Raw genomic sequence first — 27,095 nt, 5'->3', positions numbered from 1 at the left:
AAAGGGCAAGAAGTTTCTGTCTGAGATTTATTTGTTTAAAAGTAGAATCAAAATAACAGGATAAGTACATGACTTTGTTGAAGGAAAATCTAAAACCAATGATCAAAAATCATTGGCCCTTCGAGCTGCAAATTTTTTTTTTTTGAGACAGAGTCTTGCTCTGTCACCCAGCCTGGAGTGCAATGGCAGGATCTTGGCTCACTGCAACCTCCATCTCCCGGGTTCAAGCGATTCTCCTGCCTCAGCCTCCCAAGTAACTTGGATTACAGGTGCCCACCACCATGCACAGCAAATTTTTTTGTATTTTTAGTAGAGACAAGGTTTCACCGTGTTTGCCAGGCTGGTTTCGAACTCCTGACCTCAAGTGATCCACCCACTTGGGCCTCCCAAAGTGCTGGGATTACAGGGGTGAGTCACCACCCCTGGCTGAGCTGCAAAATTAATACAATGTTTTCTAATAGACCCTGCTTCTGATACTGAAGATAACAAATTTTCATTTGAAATGGAGATACCACAAAGAGGTGAATCAGACAACTACAATTTCACATTGTATTTTTCCTCTTATCCCACAAAGCACTTCTTGCTAATAACTATCATATATAGTTGTGATTAGAAATTAACCTTGGTGTAAGATTATTCTAGTTCTGTGTTGTCTAACATGGTTGTCATTAGCCACATGTGGCTATGTGAATTAAAATTAATTAAGATTAAAATTCAGTTCCAGCCACATTTCAAGAGCTCAGTAGCTACATGTGCTGTATGTGTCTAGTCCCTATCATACTGAATAGCACAGAATCCAATAATTTCTACCATTGCAGGAAATTTTATTGGTCAGCTGTGATTTAGTACAATATCACATATGAGGAAAAAATTCTAGCTGCCTCATTCTAGCTTATTGTGTTTTATCTATTCATCAAGGCTGATGACTTCAAGCAGATATTAGGGGAATGAACAATCTTTGGGGATTGTACTTCAGTCCTTATTTGACCACTGGATTTTCTATGTTGCTAATTAGCAAAGAGCATCTACAACAATGACATTGAGCAGCAGCTACTTACGTTTTTATGGTAGTTGTATGAAAAGGATTTTTAGTACTAGAAAAGTTGGCCATGTTTCTCAGCCTCTCAGGCAATTCACAGTCACCAAAATCAGCACCAAGGGAATTGAACAACTAACTTAGGACAACCCAAGAGGGTTCTACAATGCCACTTTCATGGCTAGTCCTAAAAAAGACAGGAGGAAGTTTCCCAGGAGACAGATCTCAGGAGTCCATATTCACCAATTGTGAGGCTTAATCAATTGTCAAGAAGTTAATCACCCATCCAATGCCCATCTTGCTATTACCATCTAGAAGTGCCCAAAGTCTGGTGTATTCACATTTCTAATTTTCAAAATGAGTATTTTTACTGATGCTATTTTTGTTTTTCCTCAACCATTAAATACTGGGCTTCATTAGGGGAAGAGAGAGTGCCAAGTGTATTGGTTAGTATTTTAGTCCATTTTCTGCTGCTATAACAGAATACCACAGAATAACAGGGTAATTTATAAACAATACAAGTTCATTTGGTTCACATTTCTGGAGACGGAAAGTCAAGAGCATGGTACTGGTATATGGCAAAGTCATCCCATGACAGAAGGGTGGAAGGCAGAAATGAGCCCAAGAGACAGAGAGAGGAGCTCTAGCCAAACTCACCATTTTCATCAGAAACACACTCCTATAATAACTAACCCACTCTGCTATAACAGCATTAATTTATTCATAAGAGTGAAGCCCTCATGGTGTAAATAACCTCTTAAAGTACCCTCCTCATAATACTGTTACAGTGGCAAGTAAATTTCAACATGGGTTTTGGTGGGGACATTCAAACCATAGCATTCCATCCCTGGAACTCTGAAACATATGTCCTTCTTATATACAAAGTACATTCATTCCATTAAAATAATTCCAAAAGTCTTAACTCATTCTAGCATCAACTCAAAGTCCAAAGTCCTGAGTTTTATCTTAATCAGATATGGGTGAGACTCAAAGCACAATCCTTCCCAAGGCAAATTCTCCAGTTGTGAGCCTGTAAAATCAAAACAAATTATTTATTTTTAAAATACAATGGTCATGCCATGGGAGAAGGATGGACAGTGGAAGTGAGCACACAAGACGGAGAGGGGAATCAGGGTGAACTCAGCCTTCTTGTTAGAAGCCCATGCCCATTATAACAGCATAAGATAGACATTCGCATTTCAAAAGGGAAAAATAAGCAAGAAGAAAGCAGTAACTGGTCCCAAGTATGTCCAAAATTCAACGGTACAGACCACATTAAATTTTAAGGCCACGGAATAATTGTTTATTCCATGTGTCACCTCTTGTACACACTGGGGGTTTACAGGCCCAAAGTGCTGGGTAGCACCACACCTATGCCTCTGCTGGGCTCTGTCCATGCTTCAGCTCTCTTGGGTTGAAGTTGCATGCACGTGATCCTACAGTTCTGGGATCTTTGGGTCTGCCCCATTCCCATGGCTTCACTGGGCATTGACCTAGTAGGGTTTATCTGCAGTGTTACATCCACATGGTAGATTTCTTCCTGAGTTTCCAGGAATTCCACAGCATTATTCGAAATCTAGGTGAAGGCAGTCATGCCCCCACAGCTCTTGCATTCTGCACGCCTGCAAAACTTGCGTCATGTGGATGTCACAAAGGCTTACTGCTTGTACCCTCCAGATAATTGGATCAAGCCACATCTGGGTCCACTTCAGCTGTGGCTGGGGTGCCCAAAAAGTACAGCACCAGCATGTAGACAGCAGAGACCCAAGGTGCCTCTGGACAGCAAGCCAATGGAAGGCACCCCGGGCCTGCTCCCTGAAACCCTTCTGCCCTCCTAGAGCTCTGGGTCTGTGATGCAAGGGGCAGCCTTGAAGATCTTTGAAATGCCTTTGGGGTCTTTCTCCCATTTTCTTGATTAATAGTACCTGGTTTCCTTCTATCCATGGTAATCTCTTTAGCAATCAGTTGTTTGGCCACATCATCAGTATTCTCTTTTTCACTCTACATGGCCAGCCTGTGAATTTTCCAAATCTTTCAGCTCTGCTTCCTCTTTAATTACAAATTTCATTTTTAAGTCATCTCTTTGCTCTTGCATCTCACTGTATGCAGTTAAAAGTAGCCATGTAGGCCAGGCGTGGTGGCTAACGCCTGTAATCCCAACACTTTGGGAGGCCGAGGCGGGCTGATCACCTGAGGTCAGGAGTTCGAGACCAGCCTGGCCAACATGGTGAAACCCCTCTCTACTAAAAAAATACAAAAATTAGCTGGGCATGGTGGCAGGTGCCTGTAATCCCAGCAACTCAGGAGGTGAGGCAGGAGAATTGCTTGACCCCGGAAGGCAGAGGTTGCAGTGAGCTGAGATTATGCCACTGCACTCCAGCCTGAGTGACAGAGCAATACTCCATCTCAAAAACAAAACAAAACAAAACAAAACAAAACAAAACAAAACAAAAACAAAAAAAAGTAGCCATGTAGCCACATGAATGCTTGGCTGCTTAAACAGTTCTTCCACGAGATATCCTAGTTCATCATTCTTAAGTTCCACATTTTATAAAACTCTCAGACATGGACACATTTCAGCCAAGGTCTTTGCTACCGTATAAAAAAAATTGCCTTTACTCCAGGTTCCAATACCTTGTTCCTCATGTCCATCTGAGACCTCATCAGGATGGGCTTTACTGTCCATATTTCTACCAAAATTCTGCTCATGACTACTTACCTACTCTCCAAGAGGGTTCAGACTTTTACCACAGCTCTCCTCTTCATTGGGCTGTCCTGTCACCAGAATTATCCTTAATTCTTTGCACATGACAATTCGGGCTTTTTCTAATCTTTTCTTCCAAACTTCTCTAGCCTCTACCTATTACCCAGTTCCAAAGCCACTTCCACATTTTCAGATATTTGTTATAGCAATAGCCCTACTTCTGGCTACCAATTTTCTGTATTAGTTTTTTTTATTTCTGTTATTATAACAGAATATCACAGATTGAGCAATTTATAAACAGCAGAAGTTTATTTAGCTCACAGTTCTGGAGACTGGGCAGTCCAAGAGTATGGTGCTGGCATATGGTGAGGGTCATGCCATGGGAGAGGGATGGACAGTGGAAGTGACCATACAAGATGGAGAGGGGAATCCGGCTGAACTCAGCCTTCTTATTAGAAGCCCATGACCATTATAGCAGCATTAATCCATTAGTAAGGGCAAAGCCCTTATGACCTAATCATCTCTTAAAGTACCCACCTTTTAATATTGTTACAATGACAATTAAATCTCAACATGAGTTTTTGTGGGGATATTCAAATTAAAGCTGTTAATCCATATATTTTATTCTCCTCAAGAGTCATATCTGGATCTGACTGAGCCATGTAGAAAAGGAATCCTGGGTCGCTGAACTTAGAATGATCATATTGGTTCTGCAACATTAACCAGATGCAATACTGAGTTGTTACCTTTTAAGTTAGTAGTTTGTGGGGTATGAGATGGAGCAAATGAATCACATTAAGCAAGGGCTCATTAGGAATTCTATACGAAAAAGAGGAAATGCATGTGTTAGGAGCAGCCATAGGATGGAATATATAGTGGAAAACTTTTTGGCTGTGGCTAATTCCAGATTTTTTAAAAACATCTCTTTCAGCCTGATACATATTTTTGGTTTTATACAACATGATCCCAAACACCTGACCCAAATGGATTGAACCAGAGGCAAGTACTTATTCCAAGGCTTTTGCCAGACTCGATTCTATGGCCAGAGCTGTCAGTCTATGGATAAACACCTGATTTGGGCATAATGAAGTGGAGTACGAAAGTCGAGAATGTGATCAGTTCTCCAGAGAAAAGAACATTGAATTAGAAGCAAGTCACAAATCTCTGACTTCTACTCAAAATTTGTAAGTGTATTCAGCCTGGGACAAGTCACTTTATCTCTCCGGACCTAATTCTCTTTATATGTAAAAATGGGGGTTTCATGCTGAAATATGCATTTCTAGGGTCTTTTCTATGGAATGTTAATGATCATCATGAAAGGGAAAAAAGGAAAAACTTTGTTAGATATGTGTTTACTAAAGTTTCTTTGTAATAAGACTTCTCAAAGCATTTAATATAATATTGTGCATCGTAAATCTTCTAGAAAGACTTAAATATACAATATTTCTTTCTTTTATCTCAGACCATTGTTCCCACTAAGCCTCTCACAGTTCCATGTTTCCATGGAACACATTTTGAGAAATGTTGGATAAGATCTTTTCTGGGATCCTCTGCTGCTCCAAAATACCATGGATTTCATATACCAACATCCACTGACTTATCACACAGCCAATGAGGAAGAAAGCATTTAATATTGGACCGGCACCATTCAAAAACAGCCCCTTATTTCAGTTGGAAATCTTGTGAGGCACCTGGATCTATTGCTTGTACAGTGCCAAGCAGGCAGCTTGACTGAATTTTTGTTCACATCAGGCAAGCCTGTTGGCATTGAGTAGATACGGAGAGTGTGCATTCCTGGGCTCCTTTTCCATTAGCCACGCAGCAGCTGCAGTCCATGGCTGAACTGTTCTTCATCTTAAGTGGGCATGTGTCCAGCAGCATTGAAGAATATAGAAAGGAAAGAGAGGAGAGATGTATTCCCTATTATAATTTGAAGGACAGTAAACTATTGCCTTATCCTTAACTAAACGAATCCTAGAGTGTATACCCAGGATTTCAATATTTGAAGACATTTGAAAGGCCATCTCATCCAGCTACTAAATGGATATTCCACATCTTATTGCCACTGTGTTAGATATTTGTGTTGATAAGAAACACATTAATTACAAAACAAACTAATGCACCCATAGATATCTAATAGGCAGAAAAGTCTCCTTTTGTTTTGGGTTAAAATGTGACTCCCTACAGATTTCATTTGTTGGTTTAGTTCTTCCCTATGGGGTCATTTGGAATGAGCCTAATCCCCTAATCACATGATAGCCCTGAAAATCAGAAGTCAAGTCACCCTGTAGTTGTAAAGATCACATAAAATTATGCCAGTCAAACTGCTTTGAAAATGTTCAATGGCATAACAGACAAATAGAGAATATGATGGTTAGCATACATTGCAACCTTTTTTTCTTCAGTTCTCAAAGTTCTGTACACAATTCTTGCCTAGGTCACTGGAACACTTAATATTAAAAGGATACCTACATAGTGAAAGTATGCAATATATGTAACATAATGCTTTGTTAACGTATGAGTACATGTTATAATTGACATTGAGCACTTACATAGAAATCCTCAAATCTATATACAACAGCTGAATTAAAACCATACACTGACAGGGAGTTACTGTCTGAAGGTGAACCATATAATGAATTCTGTAATGGTCAGTCGGTGAGGCACTCAGAGGAGGGGCCCAGCCAGGGATTTGATCTAGGGCACCGTTTGATCTGTGGCCAACTTGGTCACAGATATCTATTACAGCACATTCTATGAGATATGCATATCATTAACTTAGTAACATAATATTTTGTCTCTATGGTGTTTTGTTTTTTTAAGTGTATAAATGTAGCTAACATGTGTTTCTGCCAGTGAGAAAGATTTCTTTAGGTGAATCACCATAAAACTTGGGGGGGAGTAAAGAGCTTTCAAATGTTGTCACTACAGACACTAAATATGCATTAATCAATTCTTTTGAAGTTTTCCATGAATCATTTTATACCCTAAACCCTACGGTACTTTAAAAAAACCTTTAAATTCCTATAGTTACATTGAAGAGTTGCTCATTTAACTCAATCTCTTCTCAAGACCTAAAATGCCAGCAACATAGCAAACATTTTAAAAATCTTAGGTTTAACAGGTTTTGTTATTCCTTCTGTTCAGATGATAATTCAGTATATTTTGAGACTGTTGTGAGAAAAACTTAGATGAAATACTTCTTTTTTCTATTTTGATCATTTTAAGGGATCATTTTTATTAAATTACTTGTTTTATCTCAGAAAATGGGTATATTATTTAACGAATTGACCTCAAACTATCTTGCCTTTCCTAGGACAAATTTTCACTAATGCCATATCAGAAGTAAGTGATTAATTACTCTTTGTGCTAAGAAAGCCACATAACTTCCAGCAAATACTCTGAAAACAAAAATCTTGCAACCTCTTTAGCCTTCTTAATTTTTTTCTCAGAAATTGAATTTTGTTTAATTTGTTTGTTGAAATAGGACTGAAAACACCACCTAAAATACTATGAGTGATCTGGAAATTTATATATGTAGAACAACATGTATCTAAGTAAATTAAATAGGCCTCTATCATTATCTAGTAAAATTTTCTACCCAATGTAGGAATATAGAGGATTCCTAAAAGGTAAATATTCAATTTTGGTTTCTTCCATTCATCTGTTAAGTTGATGGCAGATAGATAGATAGATAGATAGATAGATAGATAGATAATAGGTAGATTCTGACAGGAAACACAGGTCTCTTAATCAGAGGACAGACTGTTACAGAGCATCTTAGCATAGGTTTTCCAATCCGCCATGGGCAACAAATTGAGAGAAAATGTTCACTTGAGCATTTATCAGGGTTGGACCATAAGAGAGGAGCTCAGAAATTATGAGATTCAAAGTTTATACAGAGTGCCTGGCATATGGGTCTAACCTCCCTTCCAGAAAAAGAAAGTCCTTCACTCTGGACTGTAAACAAATATTCCCGGGTGGGGTGGAGGGAGGAAGTTTCTTACTACCTTGGAATGTAAACAAGTGGCTCCAGGGTAGATGTTTTTAAAACTTGTACAATACAAATCATCTCTTCCTTCCAAGACATGTTTTCTATTCAGTCATCCTTGAACCAAGTTCACCAGTGTTTTTGCTCACAAAGCCTGGACCATACAGAAACATGGAAATATTCATGGAGTTCCAAACGCTGTCTATCCATTCATTTATCCAAAGTCTCTTGAGCTCTTTATAGATCTTCTTCTACATGTACACATATTACACATATTTAAAGTATAAAAAGGTATAAAACCTGCCCATTGTCCTTGGATATCCACAATATACAGTTTGCATACCTGCAGTGGCAGGGGGTTTACTGCTTCACAACGCAATTCATTATATTTTTGAAATGTTCACATTGCTAACAAATTGTGTCTTACATTATACTTAAGTCTGATTCTATGTAATTTTAACTTTTTATTGATTCATTTTAGACCCTCTAGAATAACTTGAAAGAATCAAATGCTAGTATAATTGATAGATTTTAAAATAAATTTTATTTAACTGTTTCTTATTAAAAATAATTTCTGAACATCTCACCATCCTGATTATTTACATGATATATGCTCTGGTTTGCCAATGATCCACTTAAAATACGTTTCTTAAAAAATATTCTAGGTCAGGCTCGGTGGCTGATGCCTGTAATCCCAGCACTTTGGGAGGCCGAGGTGGGCGGATCACAAGGTTAGGAGTTCGAGACCAGCCTGGCCAACATGGTGAAACCCCATCTCCACTAAAAATACAAAAATTAGCTAGGCGTGGTGGCGGGCGCCTGTAGTCCCAGCTACTCGGGAGGCTGAGGCTGGAGAATCACTTGAATCCGGGAGGCAGAGGTTACAGTGAGCTGAGATCACACCACTGCACTCCAGCCTGGGCAACAAGAGCAAAACTCTGTCTCAAACAAACAAACAAATATATATATATATATATATTCTAGATATTTTTTACCAGTCCAGGATGCAGAATGAAATGATTATTTCCTTTTATCTGTATGTGACCTATCTTGGCAGCCTATCACACTGTTTAATTGCCTTTAAAACTGTCTTTTCTATATCTAAATAAGTTATTTATGAGGAATCTTGGCTTAGTACATAAATATTGCTTGATAGTAACCATTGTAAAATAGTAAAAATTACTATTAGAGATTTTATTCTGCTAAAGTTACTATTAATTATATGCACCATAATTCAAATAATGCTTTGCACTTTCTCATTAGTTCATCTGTTGAATAGCAGGTTGCTTATAAATGTCGATTGATCCAACTTAATTTTGTGCCTGCAATAACTGGACAAATTTCATAAGATAACTCTATTTAATATATTCATAGTTAACAATAATGTGTGTTTTTTAAAAATAAGTATTTTAATTTATCCTGTCTATATTTAGTCTGACTTTATGAATAGACACCATAATAATTTTAACTTGAACGTAATTTCTACTCATAGTAGAAATACAAGATCTACTTAAAGTGAATTGAATACAAAAATTACTCTGAGGTTATAAAAAAATACTTTAAACCCATTAGGACAAAAATTTAGAAATCATTCAAAAACAAGTATTTATAAAGTACTTGTATGTTCAACATATTCTTTTGGGCAACAAGGATTAGACAAAATTATCTGGAAATGTAGACAAAATCCTTATGGAGCTGGCCTTTGTGGAGAAGAGACAGAGTATAAACAAGACAAAGTAAATAAAGTTTGTTGTATGTTAGATAATGATAAGTGCTAAGGGATAAAACTAATGCAGAGAAGAGAGACAGAAGGGTGAAAAGGTTGAGGGAGTTTGAAATTTAAGTAGATTTAAAGGTGTTCAGGAATCTGTCATCCTAATGTTGACCTTAATTTCAAATTCCATATCCCTTTAAAATTAAAGAAAGCTTTTAGAAAATTTTCTTTAATGATTTAGTTTGTTATTGATGTTGTCGCTTTTTAATTCAGAAATTCTATTTACTTTTTTCTAGCCATGTCTCCCTCCTTGCTGACTTTCCCATTATAAGAAGCGGACAATGTGGGAAAATCGAAGGTCCCCATTTGATGGGAATTCCTAACAATTTTGCAAGGGGACACAAATCACATTAGAAAAAAATCTCTTAGTCCAAGCAACAAAAAGCAAGAATGTGTGAAAATATGACAACTTGGAATTAAAATGTGGAAATCACAGATGTTCTAAGGCTGTTTGTGTTTAGCCACGACAACATGAAATTGATTCAGAAACATTTTTCATTTTTTTATCCTAGCCTGGCTTTCCCCCACTCTCTAGTGCTAAACCCATACATCTCTGTGCTCTCTTATGTGTGCTCAGAGAATGCAAGCTTATTTGAACACTGGCCTGAACAAACCAAAGCAAGGAGGACAAATAGACTTGAAGTAAAATCACACATGGTCTTCCAATTCCAAAGTGAATTGTTTTTGAGTTATTCCTTCCCCTGGCACAAGTAATTTGTGAGTTGATTAAAAGCAGATTTGTTTTCAAATGACAACACTATCTTTTTGAAGCTCTTTTGAGAAATAGGAGATAACGGAAGCCTGATTCTTGCTATTTCAGTGTATTCACCTCTGGAAATTCTGCACAAAACTTCATCTCTCAGTTCAAATCCCTTCTCCTCCACATAGCCTTTGCTAGTCAAACCAGTGTACCTTGAAATCTCTATCTGCCCTTCCTCTGGCATTTGTCCTATATGTCTGGATTTGTTAAATGTTCATGTTTTGCTTTATTCCTCTAATACAAAAGTTTCTTAAAGACAAGAACCTTTGTTTATGCATTTTCCATATCCTTCATTATGCTTAAAACTTAAGAGCTGCTCGATAATTACTTCCTAGTTGATGGACTGATTAATCTTTCTACTTTGCTTATGGGGGCACCCTTTATATTCAACATGGTTGGAGTGCAACATCACTGTGGATTTTTGGGAAATGACGGCAGCAGCTAGATCAACTGGAGTCCTGAAATCAGGGTTGGGAATGGCCATAAAGCGGAAAGAGAAGGCTTTTAACCAAGCCCTCAGGCAGCTGTATTTCCTAAGAAGAAAATCACAGACAAAGCAGACAGAAATAGATTTAACTTCAATCAGAAAATTTTTAAATTTTATTTTTATTTTTCTAACCATGAGCAATTAAGGAGAACTTCTGGCAGAATTCTAATCTTCCAGCCATACTAAAACCCACAGGAAACAGCCATTCTAGTGCAAAGGCAAGCCATGACACAGGCTGACCTAGGGAATGATCCCAAAGTAAATAGATATTGGAGCTTTGGGACATAAGATTTCATTTTCTTTGTTAGCAGATTTACTTCCCCCTCCATGACATTTATCTTGGATTCCTATTTATAAGGTGGAGTCTCAGTGAATATTGTCCCCAAGTCTTGTGCTTAAGAGAAGGAGCTGTGTAAAATTATTACTTGAAATAACTACAAATATGTCTTCTACTTAATTCTAGAGGGTTTTTTAATTCTTTTTTTGTTGTTATTTTTGTTATACTTTAAGTTCTGGGATACATGTGCTGAACGTGCAGGTTTGTAACATAAGTATATACGTGCCATGGTGGTTTACTGCACCCATCAACCTGTCATCTACATTAGGTATTTCTCCTAATGCTATTCTTCCCCTAACCCCCCAGCCCCCGACAGGTCCCACTGTGTGATGTTCCCCTCCCTGTGTCCATATATTCTCATTGTTCAACTCCCACTTATAAGCGAGAACATGTGGTGCTGGGTTTTCTGTTCCTGTTTTAGTTTGCTGAGAATGATGGTTTCCAGCTTCATCCATGTCCCTGCAAAGGACATAAACTCATCCTTTTTATGGCTGCATAGTATTCCATGGTGTATATGTGCCACATTTTCTTTATCCAGTCTATCATTGATGGGCATTTGAGTTGGTTCCAAGTCTTTGCTATTGTGAATAGTGCTGCAATAAATATACATGTGCATGTGTCTTTATAGTAGCATGATTCATGATCCTTTGGGTATATACTCAGTAATGGAATTGCTGGGTCAAATGGTATTTCTGGTTCTAGATTCTTGCGGAATCACCACACTGTCTTTCACAATGGTTGAACTAATTTATCCTCCCACCAACAGTGTGAAAGTGTTCCTGCTTCTCCACATCCCCTCCAGCATCTCTTGTTTCCTGACTTTTTAATGATCGTCATTCTAACTGGCACGAGATGATACCTCATTGTGGTTTTGATTTGCATTTCTCTAATGCCCAGTGATGACGAGGTTTTTTCATATGTTTGTTGGCTGCATAATTTTTATTACAGAGAAGAATTAGAAGATTCCATTGTAAAATTGAAGTTTTTTATTCTTGCTCAAACTTGTTGCAAGAGTTAGTTGATTTGGGATGCAATATTGACGCAATTCTCTCACTTGTTTTTTCCCTGTTTGCATTTTCTTCTACTTTTCCCAGATCTAAAGTCCATCAGCTTTTCCAGTTTCCTGGTTGGATCATTTTATTTCAAGGTTGCTTCCTTCTCTAGCATCCCAGGTCCTCCACATACTAGCCATCCTCTCAGCAGAACCAGTCACTTCTACCTGCTTTTGCACCAACTTCTACTCAATTTTACCTGAAGATTCTCAATCCTGATTCATTTTAATCATTTTCTGCCTCATTCCCTGTCCCTAGATTGTTGAAGATAACTGCTGAACTCTGGAAATATGCTTCTAAATGCACAGTTCCCTAGTGCTGTGGACCCTCTGCACAACTCGACAGTCCTTGCATCATTCTCTAGCCATTCTCCTTTGCCACTTCTTCATTTTTTGGTTTCAAATCCTTCAGGCTCCTCTTTAAGTTCCTACATCTTTCTTCTCAGTTAATGCTACTATGTTCTATTGAAGTCCTGGGCTTAAACACCTAAATTCATTACTCCTATGCCTATTAAATCATAATTTCCTCTGTTCCTGCCATGACCCCACTTTCTGATTTCTCCCTCGCAGTTTTCAAAGGAAAGGGACCCCTCTCCTTGTTCAAGACTTGTCTTTCCATCTGTACACCTACCTCCTTCCCTATTCCCTGTAAAACTGAGACATGCCCATTTGTTATCTTCTCTCTATTGTTTTCCCTCAGTTCCCTCTGCTGATGTTTTCTGCACCATTTATAAATATGCCAGTCTCCTCTATAAAATAAAAATTCATAAAATTTGTGATGCACTAGCTACTCTTTAAGCTTTACTTCAATTCAAATCTCAGCTTATATAAAGAACCATCTACACTGATCGTTTCCTTCTTAGATTCCTTTTGCGCTCTGTAATTTAATTTTTTAAGAAAAACATTTTATATAAGAACCTATGTGGAAAGTGCACAAATCTTAAATGTACAGCTTGATGCATTTTCACAAACAAATCTCCACCAGTACCTGCGAAGTCCCTTTTACAGCTACTTTACAGTCACTAGCACTCAACATTCACCCTCTTTTAAAATCACTTCTTTTTAATCTTTTTTAAATTATAAAATATATGAATACAGAAAACTGAATAAAATATAAATGTATAATGTAATATAATAATATAAAGTGAAAGATGTTTAACCTAGCATTCAGGTACAGGTGTCAGCTTCCCAGAAGCAATTCAACGCTTCTCCTCATTCTACAATCCCCTTCCCAATCACAAGCCTGTGTGTGTGTGTGTGTGTGTGTGTGTGTGTGTGTGTGTGTGTGTGTGTTGGTGGGTGAGGGGACGATTATCTTGGCTTTTATAGTAATCATATTCTGCTTGTCTTAACAGTATAACTGCCTATGTATTTAACCATAAATTATATAATTTCATTCATTCTTTATATAAATGGAATCACATGCTGCATATATTGGGGGATCTGACTTCTGTTGCTCAATAAAAATTATGTTTAAAGATTTCTCTTTTTTGGGTAAAGGATTGATGTATCTTTTTTTTCTGTGTGGCATCCTGTACCTATTAGTACACATTTCTATAGAATATAAATCTAGAAGCAATAAGGCTTGCAATATATAAATCTTCTATTAAGGCTTGCAATATGTAAATCTTCAACTTTGCTAGGAAATGACAAACTATTTCCCAATGAGTTTGACTATTTAGGTTACTCCTAGCAATGAAGGAGTTTACTGGTTACTTCACACTCTTATTTGGTATTCTCAGATTTTCTTTTACAATTTTGCCAGTCTAACTTGGATTTGCTTTCTTATGAAGACTGTTCAAGCTCTTCCTCTATGATTTATGGGTGTGCTTTATTTCTTTCAGTTTTTACTTACAGGTTTATCATACCTCTTTTATATTCCAAATATTACCCTTCTGTCAAATATATGTATTATAAGTATTTTTATTCTGTGGCTTGACATTTTACTTTATGCTATACTTTGATAAACTACTTTTTCATATTGTAATGTCATAAATGTATTCAATTTTTGCTTTATGATCTATAGATTTTGTGTCTTGTTTGCGATATTTTCTGCCTCCAGATCATGAAGATATTTCTCTGTATTATCTTCTGAAATTTGTCTTTTTTTGAGACAGAGTCTCGCTCTGTCGCCCAGGCTGGGGTGCAGTGGCACGATCTTGGCTCACTGCAACCTCCACCTCCTGGATTCAAGCAATTTTCCTGCCTCAGCCTCCTGAGGAGCTGGGATTACAGGCATGCACCACCATGCCTGGCTAATTTTTGTATTTTTAGTAGAGATGCAGTTTCACCATGTTGGCCAGCCTGGTCTTGAACTCCTGACCTCATGATCCGCCCACCTCGGCCTCCCAAAGTGCTGGGATTACAGGCGTGAGTCACTGTGCCAGGCCTAAAAATTTTTTATGTTCAGATATGTAATCCGCTTAAAACTCCCTATTACGTATGTGTAAGAGATTGCAACTTTTACCATTAATATGAATATCTGATTTTACCAACATCACTTCTTTAAAAGACTGTCATCACCCCAACTCTCCTCCAGGGCCATCTTTGTCATATACTAAGATCTGTACATGTGTGGGTCCACTTCTTAGCTTTCTATTTCATTTCATCCAACTATTTCTACGTTGCTCTACCAACACCACACTATCTTAATTACTATAGCTCTATAAATCTCCATATCTACAAAGCAAGACTGTCTCTCACCCATACTTTCTTCTTCAAATACACCTTATTTATTCTTGGCTGTTTGCTAAATTGGTTAGAATAATTCCTAGCTAAGCTACTTGATACTTTTGATATTAAAGTAAGTTTTTCTTAAAATTATCTATTTTTTGCTAGCATATAGAAAATGATTGCTTTTATATACCTGTTGATATATCTAGCAAGCTTGATTAAATCTCTCATTAATTAACTAGAAACTTTTGGATTTTTATGTACATATTTATCATATGTGTGTAATGATACCTTTGCTTCTTTCTTTCCAATCTTTATACATTTTATTTTTTTCCCTTGCTTTACTAAAGTGTTTAGGACCTACAGTTTAATATGAGTTATGACATAGGGTAGTGTATTAGTCCATTTTCATGCTGCTATAAAGAACTACCTGAGATTAGGTAATTTATGAAGAAAAGAGGTTTAATTGACTCACAGTTACATGGGCTGTACAGGAAGCATGGCTGGGGAGGCCTCAGGAAACTTACAGTCATGGTGGAAGGTGAAGGGGAAGCAAGCACATCTTCACATTGCTGGCAGGAGAGAGAGAGAGAGAATGAAGGGGAGGTGCTACACACGTTCAAACCACCAGATTTCATGAGAACTCTATCACAAGACAGCAGTAGGGGGATGGTGCTAACCCATTAGAAACAACCCCTATGAGCCAATCACCTCCTATCTCCATCATTGGGGATTACAATTCAACATGAGATTTAGGTGGGGACACAGAACCAAGTAGTATTGTTCTAAATCTTAAATTTTGAGGTGGTTTATTACACAGTGATACATCATGAAAGTAATTTTCTTTTCTATTTTTTTAGTTTTTACTTTGGAAATGCCAATGTGCATCTTTAACTTACATTAATCAATAACTTTAACATCCAACCTGGAAAAAAAGAACCATAGAGAACTTTAAGTTCATTTATCCACCTTTTCAAAGTATGCTGTTATTATAGTGTATTTTAATTATTTTAAAATTCAAGCAATCAGTATTATTACTGATTTTATTTATTTATTTAAATTTTTTTTTTTTTTAGATAGAGTTTTGCTCTTGTTGCCCAAGCTGGAGTGCAATTGCGTGATCTCGGCTCACTGCAACCTCCGCCTCCCGGGTTCAAGTGATTCTCCTGCCTCAGCCTCCCGAGCGTCTGGGATTACAGGCACCCGCCACCAGGCCTGGCTAATTTTTTGTATTTTTAGTAGAAATGAGGTTGCACCATGTTACCCAGGCTGGTCTCGAAATCCTGACCTCAGGTTTTCTGCCCACCTCAGCCTCCCAAAGTGCTAGGATTACAGGTGTGAGCCACCGCGCCTGGCCTATTACTGTTTTTATATAGTCAATATTAATTTAAAGTTCCCTGCATATTTACAAGTCTCTCTTTTCTTACTTCTTCTGGCAATTTGGACACCCCCTTTGAGATCATTTTATTTTACTTGAAATACATGCTTTAGAATTTTCCTTTGTGTAGATATGTTAATGTCAAACTTACTGTTTTTGTTAATCTAAACATGTTTATTTTACTTTGATTTTTGATGGATTTTTTTTTTCTGGGAAGAGAAATCTAAATTTGTAGATTTTTTTTTTTTTTTTTTTGAAATGGAGTCTCTCTCTTGTCGCCCAGGCTGGAGTCCAATGGCATGATCTTGGCTCACTGCAACTTCTGCCTCCTGGGTTCAAGAAATTATCCTGCCTCAGCCTCCTGAGTAGATGGGATTACAGGTGCCTGCCACCACCCTGGCTGATTTTTGTACTTTTAGTAGATACAGGGTTTCGCTATGTTGGCCAGGCTGGTCTCTAACTCCTGACCTCAGGTGATCCACCCTCCTTGGCCTCCCAAAGTGCTAGGATTACAGGTATGAGCCACTGTGCCCAGACACTATTTTCTTTCGAACATATATTATTGTAATGATTTCTGACTTATTTTTGCTAAGTCACTTCTTTGTTTAGTTGTTGCTCCTTTGACGGTAAAGAGGGCTTTTTTTTCCTCTTACTGATTTATAGATTTTTGTTTTCTCCTTGTCTTTAATATCTTGGAGTTTCAGTAGCAAGAGAATAGATATGGAAATTTTTTTTATTGTGTTTGAGATTTATTTATCTGTAGATCTGCATTTTTCTTTAGTTGTGAAAAATTCTCAGCCATTATCTTAACAAATATTGTCTCTTCCGTTTGGTTCGCTCCTCTCTTTTTGGGATTCTGATTAAGCTTATGTTATCATTTCTCACTTTATTCTACTCACAGTTCCACAGGTTGTACAAGAGACTATATAGAAGAGAATGCCTTGCTGTTTTTTCAAACATCAGTGCTGTTTTCTAAGACATTTTGTCTGACCTACCTTTCAGTTCATCTATTCTTTCTTTTGCTGTGTCTATTCGCCTGTTAAACTTGTCCATTTAGTTTTAAATTTTAGTTTTTTTTAAATTCTGGAAATCATATTTGTTTAAGTTTATTATGTTATTTTATAGTTGATTTCTCTGCAGATGTATTCAATCTTTTAAAAACACTTAATTTTTTGTGTCTGGTAATTTCAATATCTGAATATTTGCAAGACTGTTTCTATTTTTTTGTTTCTTTACAGTGGCCTCCATTTATCAAGTATAATTTCCTTGTATGCCTGGTTATCTTTGCTGTATGTTACATGTTTTACATAAAATAATAATTTATAGAAATAATTATTGAGGCCTACAATATGTGAATATTTATCTAGATATAATTTGCTATTGTTCCTGCCAGATTGCTGGATCTCTTACAGTTTGGGATCACCTCAAATCAAGGTGCAAAGGTGGTTTTCATTTTTCTTTCCTTTTTTTCTTTTCTTTTTTTAAGAGATGGGGTCTCACTCTGTCACCCAGGCTGGAATTCAGTGGTGCCATCATAGCTCACTGCAGCCTCAAACTCTTGGGCTCAAGCGATCCTCCCACCTCAGCTTTCTGAGTAGATAAGACCACAGGTGTGATCAACCACAGCTGGCTATTGTTATTATTACTATTTTGTGGAGATGAAGTCTTACTATGCTGCCAAGACTGATCTCTAATTCCTGGCCTCAAGCAATCCTTCTATCCTCCCACCTCAGCCTCCACAAGTGCTAGGATTACAAGCATGAGCCATTGTACCTGGCCCCCAAAAGGATTTTAAATGATTCATGGGAATATTCAGTTAACCCTTACCTTACCATGGTCCTTTGGTTCTTCCGTGTGTGTGGGCAGGTGGAAGGTGTCTTCTGCTTTTATTTCTGTCCTTATCACTTGGTAAGGCTATCAAGATTAAAAATAACATTACCAGGTTCTGCAAATGCTCTCAAAATAAACTAGCTTAAGTACTCATTTCTCTAGTTATTTTTTCTTCACTTTGGATTAACATTTCCTTACTTGACCTCTTGAATTATTTTCAAAAATGTTTAGATGTTTCTAGACACATATTTTTGTTATTGTTTCTTTCCAGTGGGAAGAATGAACCAAATGGCTTTCTATTCACTCTTCATGATAGGTGATATACTCATTTCTAAAGTCTAAATTTGATATTGACAAATTGCCCTGCACAGTGAATGTATGAATTTGCACTCTCACTAGTAAGGTATGAGAGTGCCTCTTTGTCCTCATCCTCATCTATATGGTATGTTATCACACTTTTGAATCTTTGATAATCTGATAATTTTGCATAGTTTTAAATTTTAATTTATTTTAATATGAGTAAGAGTGAGTATTTTTATTTCAGGGGAATTTAAATTTCTTTTTTAACATTTTAATAGTCTCTCAGTTTGTATCATGTGCTCATTCTTCTTTTTGGTTGATGATCTTCTGGATTTGTAAGAGTTATTTTTAAAAAGTAAGTTGCATATTTTTTGTAAGTTGTTGTTATGGTCCCTCCCAAAGCTCATGTTGAAATTTAGTTGCCAATGTAATGGTGTTGGGAGGTGGGACATGTAGAAGGTAGTTAGGTCATTAAGATGGGTTAATGTCTTTCTCACAATACTGGGTTAGTTATTGCAAGATTGGATTAGTTCCTTTGAGAGTAGGTTGTTATAAACCTAGGTTGCCCCTTGTGTTCTATCTCTTTTGCACAGGCTCCCAACAACGTGATGCCATCTGCCATGCTATGATGTACCATGAGGCCCTCGCCAGATGCAGCCACCCAGTATGGAAACTTCTCAGTCTTCAGAGCTGTGAGACAAACCTCATTATTAAAATAGATTTTCCAGTCCCAGGTACTCTTTTATAGCAATAGGAAATGACCTAAGACAGCTGTTATGTTTTCCTGTTGTATCATCCGTCTTCTAATTTTCTTTTTGATAGTTTGGTAAGGATAAACTGTCTTAATTTTTTGTAGCTGTATTTATCAATGTGATTTTTGTAGTCTTTGTGTCACACACATAAAGGTCTTTCATACTCTGAAATTATAAACTGTTTTCTCCCTCCATTACTTTTATGATTTTATATTTTTTACTGTGGACTCTTCAATTTTCTTGAATTAGTTTCAGTGACAAAATGTGAATCCATTTTTGTCCAGATGGCTTCCCCATTATCTAAGCACCATTTATTGAATTATCCATCTTTTCCCCCACAGATATTTGACATATATTATATGATGCCACCTTTATTATATGCTAATCCCTAAGTATTTCTACCTATTTCTGGACTTCCTAGTTTGCTCCATTTACATGTCTGTCTGCTAATGTGCCAACACTGCCTCATTTTACTGTTAAACATTTTAATCATTTAAAAATATCTGTTGTGCTATTCTTTTATCAAAAATACTCTTCTGAATTTTCCTTTTAAAGTTTTCCATATTAAGTTTAAAACTAATTCCACAGAAAAATGCCTTGTTATTTTTATTGGAATCAAGTGTTATTTATAGATTAATTTTGAGAGAATTTATTGTTTTATGATGTTAGATTTTCCTATTCAAAAATATGATATGCTTTTATATTTGTCTAAGACTTCCTTTCTCCACTGGTAGCATTTGAATATTTTCTTCATACAGATTTTATGTGTTTCTTGTTAAGTATATTCTTTACTACTTCTCTCTTAAAGAGACTTTTTTTTCTTGAAGAGACTACATACTACAGCAGTTAAAGCCATAGCCTGTGGATTAAGACTCCCTAAATTTAAATTATGGTTCTAAAACTTACTAGCTGTAGAAACACGAACAAGTTAATTAAATGCTTTACCTCCATTTCTTCATTTGTACTACAAGCCTGTGAAAGCTCTCAGAAGAATGCCTAGTGCATAATAAGAATTCATTATTAACTCATTGTTGCTATTGTAGATGATTGTTTTTTTCCCATAAATCTTCCAACTTTTTATTATTTACATAAACAGAAACTATTGGTATCTGGACATATTTTGCATCTAGTCAGCTTATTAAATTTTCATTGTTTGGCAATCATTCTCCCAGCTGATTTTCTAAGTATGGTGTATAATCATATGTGTTTCAAGTAATGATATTTTATTTCCTTCTTTGCAGTTTTTATATTCCAATTGTTTTCTCATTATTTACTTTGGCTAGCATTTCCAGAAAGATATTTAAAACTTCAGAAGATACAAATAATAACTATAATCTTTCTTCTCTTTGATTCTAAGACTGTAGTTTCTCCTAGTTACCTGCTTATAGTTCTGAGCAGACTTTTTTCACATCCTTTGCCGGATTTTCTTCCTATAGATGCCTTTATATCTAGTAACTCCTGTTTCTAGATATTCTCTTTGTCCATGGTTTCTCACTGTACACATCATCCCAGAATAATTCTTCAATTAATACTCAAATTATAATGACTCACAAAATTACATATCCATTCTATATATATTTCCTACAACTCTAATTTCATATATTCACTTCCCATTGGGTTTTTCCATCAGAATGTCTCAGAAATACTTAACAGCAACATGTTCAAAATGGAGGTCATTTTCACTAACCCTCCTACACACACACACACACACACACACACACACACACACACACTTTGTTTAATGGCAACCACATAAATATAGTAACTAGAGCTAAACATACAGGCTTTATCTCAATTCATTACTTCTTCCCATACCTTAAACCCATTAAACACTAAGTCTTGTGGAATATCTCTCAAGATCATTTCTTATTCTCTAGCTGAAGTTTCTTATTTCCTTACATAGCAACTATCGTCACAGTCTTATAACTGACTTCCCAGTAGGGTGACCAACTGTCCTGGTTTCCCTAGGATTGGCAGTCTTCCCAGGATGCATGGCTTTTATTACTAAAACCAGAAAAGTTTTAGGCAAAACAGGATGGGTTTATCACCCAGCATCCTGGCCTCCAACATCACCCTCTTTTAGTAATTCAAAGTCAGATGCATGTTATGGAACTTCCCTCAAAAAGTGTACAGGCACGTAAGTTTTGCATTTAATTCCAGAATTTAACTGATGATCTGAATCTATAGGTCAATTGACCACAGGTTTGAAATATATAAATTTGAGGTTTCAGTGCTGGGCGTGGTGGCTCACGCCTGTAATCCCAGCACTTTGGGAGGCCGAGGTGGGCCGATCATGAGATCAGGAGATTGAGACCATCCTGGCTAACACGGTGAAACCCCATCTCTACTAAAAATACAAAAAATTAGCCGGGTGTGGTGGCGGGCGCCTGTAGTCCCAGCTACTCGGGAGGGAGGCTGAGGCAGGAGAATGGCATGAACTCGGGAGGCGGAGCTTGCAGTGAGCCGAGATGGCGCCACTGCACTCCAGCCTGGGTGACAGAGCGAGACTCTGTCTCAAAAAAAAAAAAAATTTAGTTTTTAAACAATCTTCCATATGGCTTTCAGAATGATCTAAATTTGACAATGGTATTATTATTCTAAACATTGTCCTATGGCTCCCCATTGCCTGTAGCATAAACATTAAATTCTATAGAATACGTAAAATATACTTTGTGATCCAAGACTTGCTTTCAGTTTTCATTGTATCTCTGAGTGTTTTGTCATACCTTAACTCTTGTCATAGTGAATGACTGACAGTTTCCTGAAGGTGCCATGCTGCTCCTTTGTATGGTATGCAATGCCTCTCTCACCATCGCCATATCTGCCTTAGAATACTCACTCTGTCTTAGAAAACTCATTCGAGGATCTTCTTTTCTCTGAAACATTGTCCTCCCAAATCATTCCAAACAATGTGTCCTGCCTTTTTCTGTCCTATGACTGGAGTTGATGCACACTTTTAACACTTGCCACATACTGAAATTACCTTTTACAACCCATTCTCTGCAAAAACACCAAGACTGAGGAACAGAGGCAGTATAGTATCTTACCCTACTTTATATCCTTAACATTTAGCACAATGCCTGACACATTCTAGATTATCAATAAATGATTGTTAAATGAATTAATGAATGAATGTGGCAGGAATACAAGAATCATCTTACTACTCACGGATAGGTAATTAACAGTGATAATCTACACCTCATTGCTTAAAATTGTGTGTACTTTTAATAAAGATTGTGTGAATTAACAAAATGTCACAATTACCAATTTTCTCATTAAAATATGGGTATGTGACATCTTATGTCTCTGTTATTAGCATTCTACATAATAGGAATAAAAAATACAATACTGAACTAAAATTGCTGCCTTTTACATTGCAGCTGAGCCTTCCCTAGAGGTCTCATTTGACACTGGCTCAGAAAGCCAGTCTAAAGCAGTTTGCAAGAGAGACTAGCAAATATTATAGCGAGTAATAAGAATGTAATTTCCAGTACTAAAGAATTACACTATGCAGGCATATAAAAGTCATCTTTGCAATAATCAGCTGAGTTTCCTTTTTTGTTCAAAATTGAAGCCCTTAAAAAATTGATCACAGAGTGTTGTTAACATTTTGAAGCCTGCTTTTTGTGCCATTTTAAAAGCAAAGTAAACATGTATAAGCGAAGGTACCTAATTTTGTATGTGCTTTTAATAAAAATTACACTACCTTAATTAGGCCTATGATTTCAATGCATTTTAACACACAATTCATCAAATGCAAATAAAACTAAATTTGCAACCATTTTAACACACTATTCATCAAATGCAAATAAAACTAAGTTTGCAACCATAGAATTTTGCTGAGCTCAGGATATACTTTATAGTTTCATTCCTGTGAGTACTGGTACGCTACATGATTGGGCTCTATACACTGTGTTGTTCTTTGTTGTTTGTCTACATCTCCAAAGTTCTAACAAAATAAGTTGGAAAGTAAATCAGCTAATCAACAGTCCAGTTTTATTCCATGGTGAGACATGTAGCTTCAGGTGAGGGTTGGCAGTGCAGAGGATGAGGACTTGGATGTGCACAGGAGTCACTGGAAAATAGTCACTGCCTATCAGAATGGGAAGCAAATGAGAAATTGGAGTTCTCAGGGAAGAGTTGAAAAGAAATAAGGTACTAGATGTCAAATAGAAGTAGGCAACATAGATTAAGAAACTAAATTAAGGTCACAGATTAAGAAGCAAGAAGACATTTGGGATCAAGGGCACTAAAGGTCTGATAGGTAAAAGGATGATTATGCCATAAGACTAAAATTATTATCTGGAATGTCAATGGACTAAAATTCAGTCTTTACTTTCTGCTGTACTCCACAAGCTCAAGAGACATAGGGAAAGTGTACAAACTCCACTGTCTACTTAACATTAAATTCCTCTCTCCAACTGGGGCAGGCTTCAAGCTGGCAGCCTGTAGTGGGAAAGAGGACATGGGTGGCTTTACCTCCTCCTCTTCCTGCTCACCTCCTTTTGTATTTGCTAGTTCTTTTTCTTCTTTTCAATATTGTTGTAAGAGAAAGGAAATGAAGATCAGGAATAAGCCAATTTTTACCGAGCTGAATGGCTTCATGCTCACTCTGTCTCTCTTTTTTTCTTTCTCTCTCTCTCTCTTTCTTGCAATTGGTTAAAATGGAGACCTGGGAGATAGCTTTGGTTAACTCCTTCTTATGGGTGGTTTTGTGGGCTATTTGGGGTTTTGCTCTTCTGCTGACCCAGGAGGATGTATCTCTACTCTAGGTTATCACCTGTAACCCTACATTCCTTCTGATGATACACCTCTAACCTCTCTCTGCTGAATTTGGCTCACTTCACCTGTCAACCATTTGGTTCAGGAACTATGCAGGCCCTCTCTCCCATGACACTGCCATTTTCTACAGGTAAACACTTTTGGCTTCCTGATAAATTCTGAGAAACAGACTGAATCTCATGCTACAATACCGTTGTCCACCAACAGAACATTTGGCTGGTAGAAAACAGACTCCAGTCTATGCCTAATTAAGCTCTCTCTTGCATAGATCAGACGACAGTCTTCAGTCTCTTAGTGGCAAGAAACATTTACCATGACTCTCTGAATATACCCATTGAAGTCTTTCTTTGTATGTTTAGACGTAGACAAACAACAAAGAGCAACACAGTGTATAGAGCTCAATCATGTAGTGTACCAGTACTCACCGGAATGAAATTACAAAGTACATTCTAAGCTCAGCAAAATTCTATGGTTGCAAACTTAGTTTTATTTGAATTTGACGAATTGTGTGTTAAAATGATTGCAAATTTAGTTTTATTTGCATTTGATGAATTGTGTGTTAAAATGCATTGGAAATCACAGGCCTAATTAAGGTAGTGTAAAAGGTAGCATCCACCATGTTTCCTTCACTTGGGGAACATGGGAAGTGCAGCACAGCATCTGCTCGCTCCAAAGAGGTCTCCACTAACATTCTCCTTACATCTTTTCTCTGTCCCATGTTTACATTCTTGAATTTGTTGAGTGTTTCAGGAAAATGAAACAGGCCCTTGGGGTCATTTTCTTTCTAAATTTGTCTGCAATGACAGAGGTGATCCATCTCACACTCACTCTCTTGTCCCGATAGTTATCAAAAAGAGTTACATTCTAAATTGCTACTTCTTATCATTCTGTAGCCAGCAGTTCTAAACCCCAACTACAAATTAGAATCACCAGCAAAGCTTTTTAAAAGTGTGGATGCCTGCTACTCCTTTTCTCAGGCTGAAATTCTGATCCAATTGGTCTGGTTGAATATTTGTATTATTTTAAAAACTGAAATGATGATTTTAATGTGCAACAAGGGCTGAGAAGAACTAATACAAACAAATGGAGACTTACTCCTTCAACCAACATCTTTGGACGGAATAGTCTGTACTAACATTTTTCTCTGTGTTTATAGACACAGCCCTAATAATGCTAAAAACTATTCCTAATAATAAATTCGTTTAAAAAACATATCCTGAGTTCTCTTAAGAACTCGTTGTGACTATTTATAGAAGGATTCATTTCTGTGCCAAATTTAAACTCATTTGGTTGATATATTTTAAACCATTGTCATTCAAACAAAGTGGAAAATCATGCTCATCAATTGTATTTATATATACCCATAAGTGTTCCCATGTATGAACATTTCTTCTCTATTGAATAGCTAATGCATGTAAATTTTCTTATGATTACTATCCTCTTACAGCTGTACAGAAAATAAACCAGGAAGAGAGGAAAAGCTGAAGAAAACAATTAATCATTTCTATTTAGGAAAAAAAGACAAGCCCATCTAAAGGAAAAATAACACATGAAATAACTGGAAAAAAATCACATTTCTATCAATTCTGTCACGTTTAAGATGAATTTTCCAAAGAGAGTAAGATGGTCTCCTGACATTCTTATTCCAGGAAGTCTTTCAGATTTTCCACAAAGTCTTTCCTACACTTAAAATTAAATGGTTCCCATGTACAGAGCTGAGACTGATTGTCTAGTATTATCCCACCTTAAGTGCCAAGTGCCATTAATGTCCAACTTTAACTTTAAAGGGAAATAAAATCCATTGATTATTTTTCCCAGCAGGGCTGATAACTCTCAAACATCATTAAAATCGAAAAAATAAGTTTAATAAGCCTGTTTCTCTGCTCCCTGGGGCTAAAAATTTCAAAATTTTATCCCCAAAGTTCTATATTTAGGGATTAATTCTACAGATATTATCAGGCATATAAACAAGTTTCTCTGTGTGTGTGTGCATGTGTGTGCATAAACACTAATTTATTAAAACATTTTCAGAATAACAAAGAATGTGAAACAAACTAAGTATCAATGAGGAAACAGTTAAATGAGTGATAGTAAAGCTATTGAACACAATGACATTAATCTATGTATACTGATAAGGAAAATTTTGTAAGACACATTGTTAAGTTTAGAAGGAACAAAATACATTCAATATATTTATGTCTCAGTGTGTAAGTCAAAAATATATAAGGAGTATATAAATATGTTTCTATGCAGAAGTAAAATTTCAAAAAGAATATGCAAAAAAAATCATTAACAATGGCTCCCCTAAGGAAAGCGTCTGTTCTATGGTCTGGGAAGGATACTTATTTTCACTATATAGCTTTTTGAACTGTTTGAGTTTTTTATCATGTGCATGATACAATTCTCAATTTTTTTAAAAAGCTACTCTATTACAAGTACTAGTAGCAAATGGTTTTAAGGCACCCTTAATACCTTATTTTCCTCCGGAACTAATTTACCTTGCATAGCTGAAACTTTGTATCCTTTTACCAACACCTCACCATTTTGCCCTCCCCTTAACTCCTGACAACCACCGTTATACTCTGTGCTTCCGTGTGTTTGACTATTTTAGATTCCACATCTAAATGAAATGATGCAGTATTTGATTTTCTATGTCTGTCTTATTTTGCTTAAGATCATGTCTTCCAGATTCATTCATGTTGTCAGAAATAGCAAGATTTCCTTGTTATGGTTGACTAGTATTCCATTGTATATACACCCCATTTTCTTTATCCATTCATCCAGCAATGAATACGTAGGTTGTTTCTGTATCTTGGCTATTGTGAATAATGCTGCAATTAACATGGAGGACAGATATCTCTTTGGCATACCAATTTCAAATCCTTTGAATACATACAGACGTGGGATTGATGAATCAAATAGTATTTCCATCTTTAATTTCTTTAAGAAATCATCATACTTGTTTCCATAGTGGCTACACCAATTTAAGTTTCTGCCAACAACGTACAGGGTTCCCTTGTCTCTGCTCACTCACCAATACTTGTGTCCTTTGTTTTTTTTGATAATAGTCATCTTAACAGGTGAAAAACGATATCTAGCTGTGGTTTTGATTTGCATTTCCCTAATGATTAGTGACGGTGAGCACTTTTTCATATACCTGTTGGTCATCTGTATGTCTTCTTTGGAGAAATGTCTATTCAGCCCCCTTGGCTGTTTCAAATCAGGTTATTTGACATTTTG

General features: G+C 36.7%; 1 pseudogene; it reads left to right on the top strand.

The window, feature by feature from the left end:
• NXNP1 (nucleoredoxin pseudogene 1) overlaps positions 1–14,530 on the top strand; it is a 38,790-nt pseudogene extending 24,260 nt beyond the window's left edge.

The sequence above is a fragment of the Homo sapiens genome, chromosome 1 (assembly GCF_000001405.40).
Source record: "Homo sapiens chromosome 1, GRCh38.p14 Primary Assembly".
Lineage (NCBI taxonomy): Eukaryota > Metazoa > Chordata > Mammalia > Primates > Hominidae > Homo > Homo sapiens.
The sequence above is the reverse complement of the archived record's forward strand: the minus strand, read 5'-3'. Positions and strand labels throughout refer to the sequence as shown.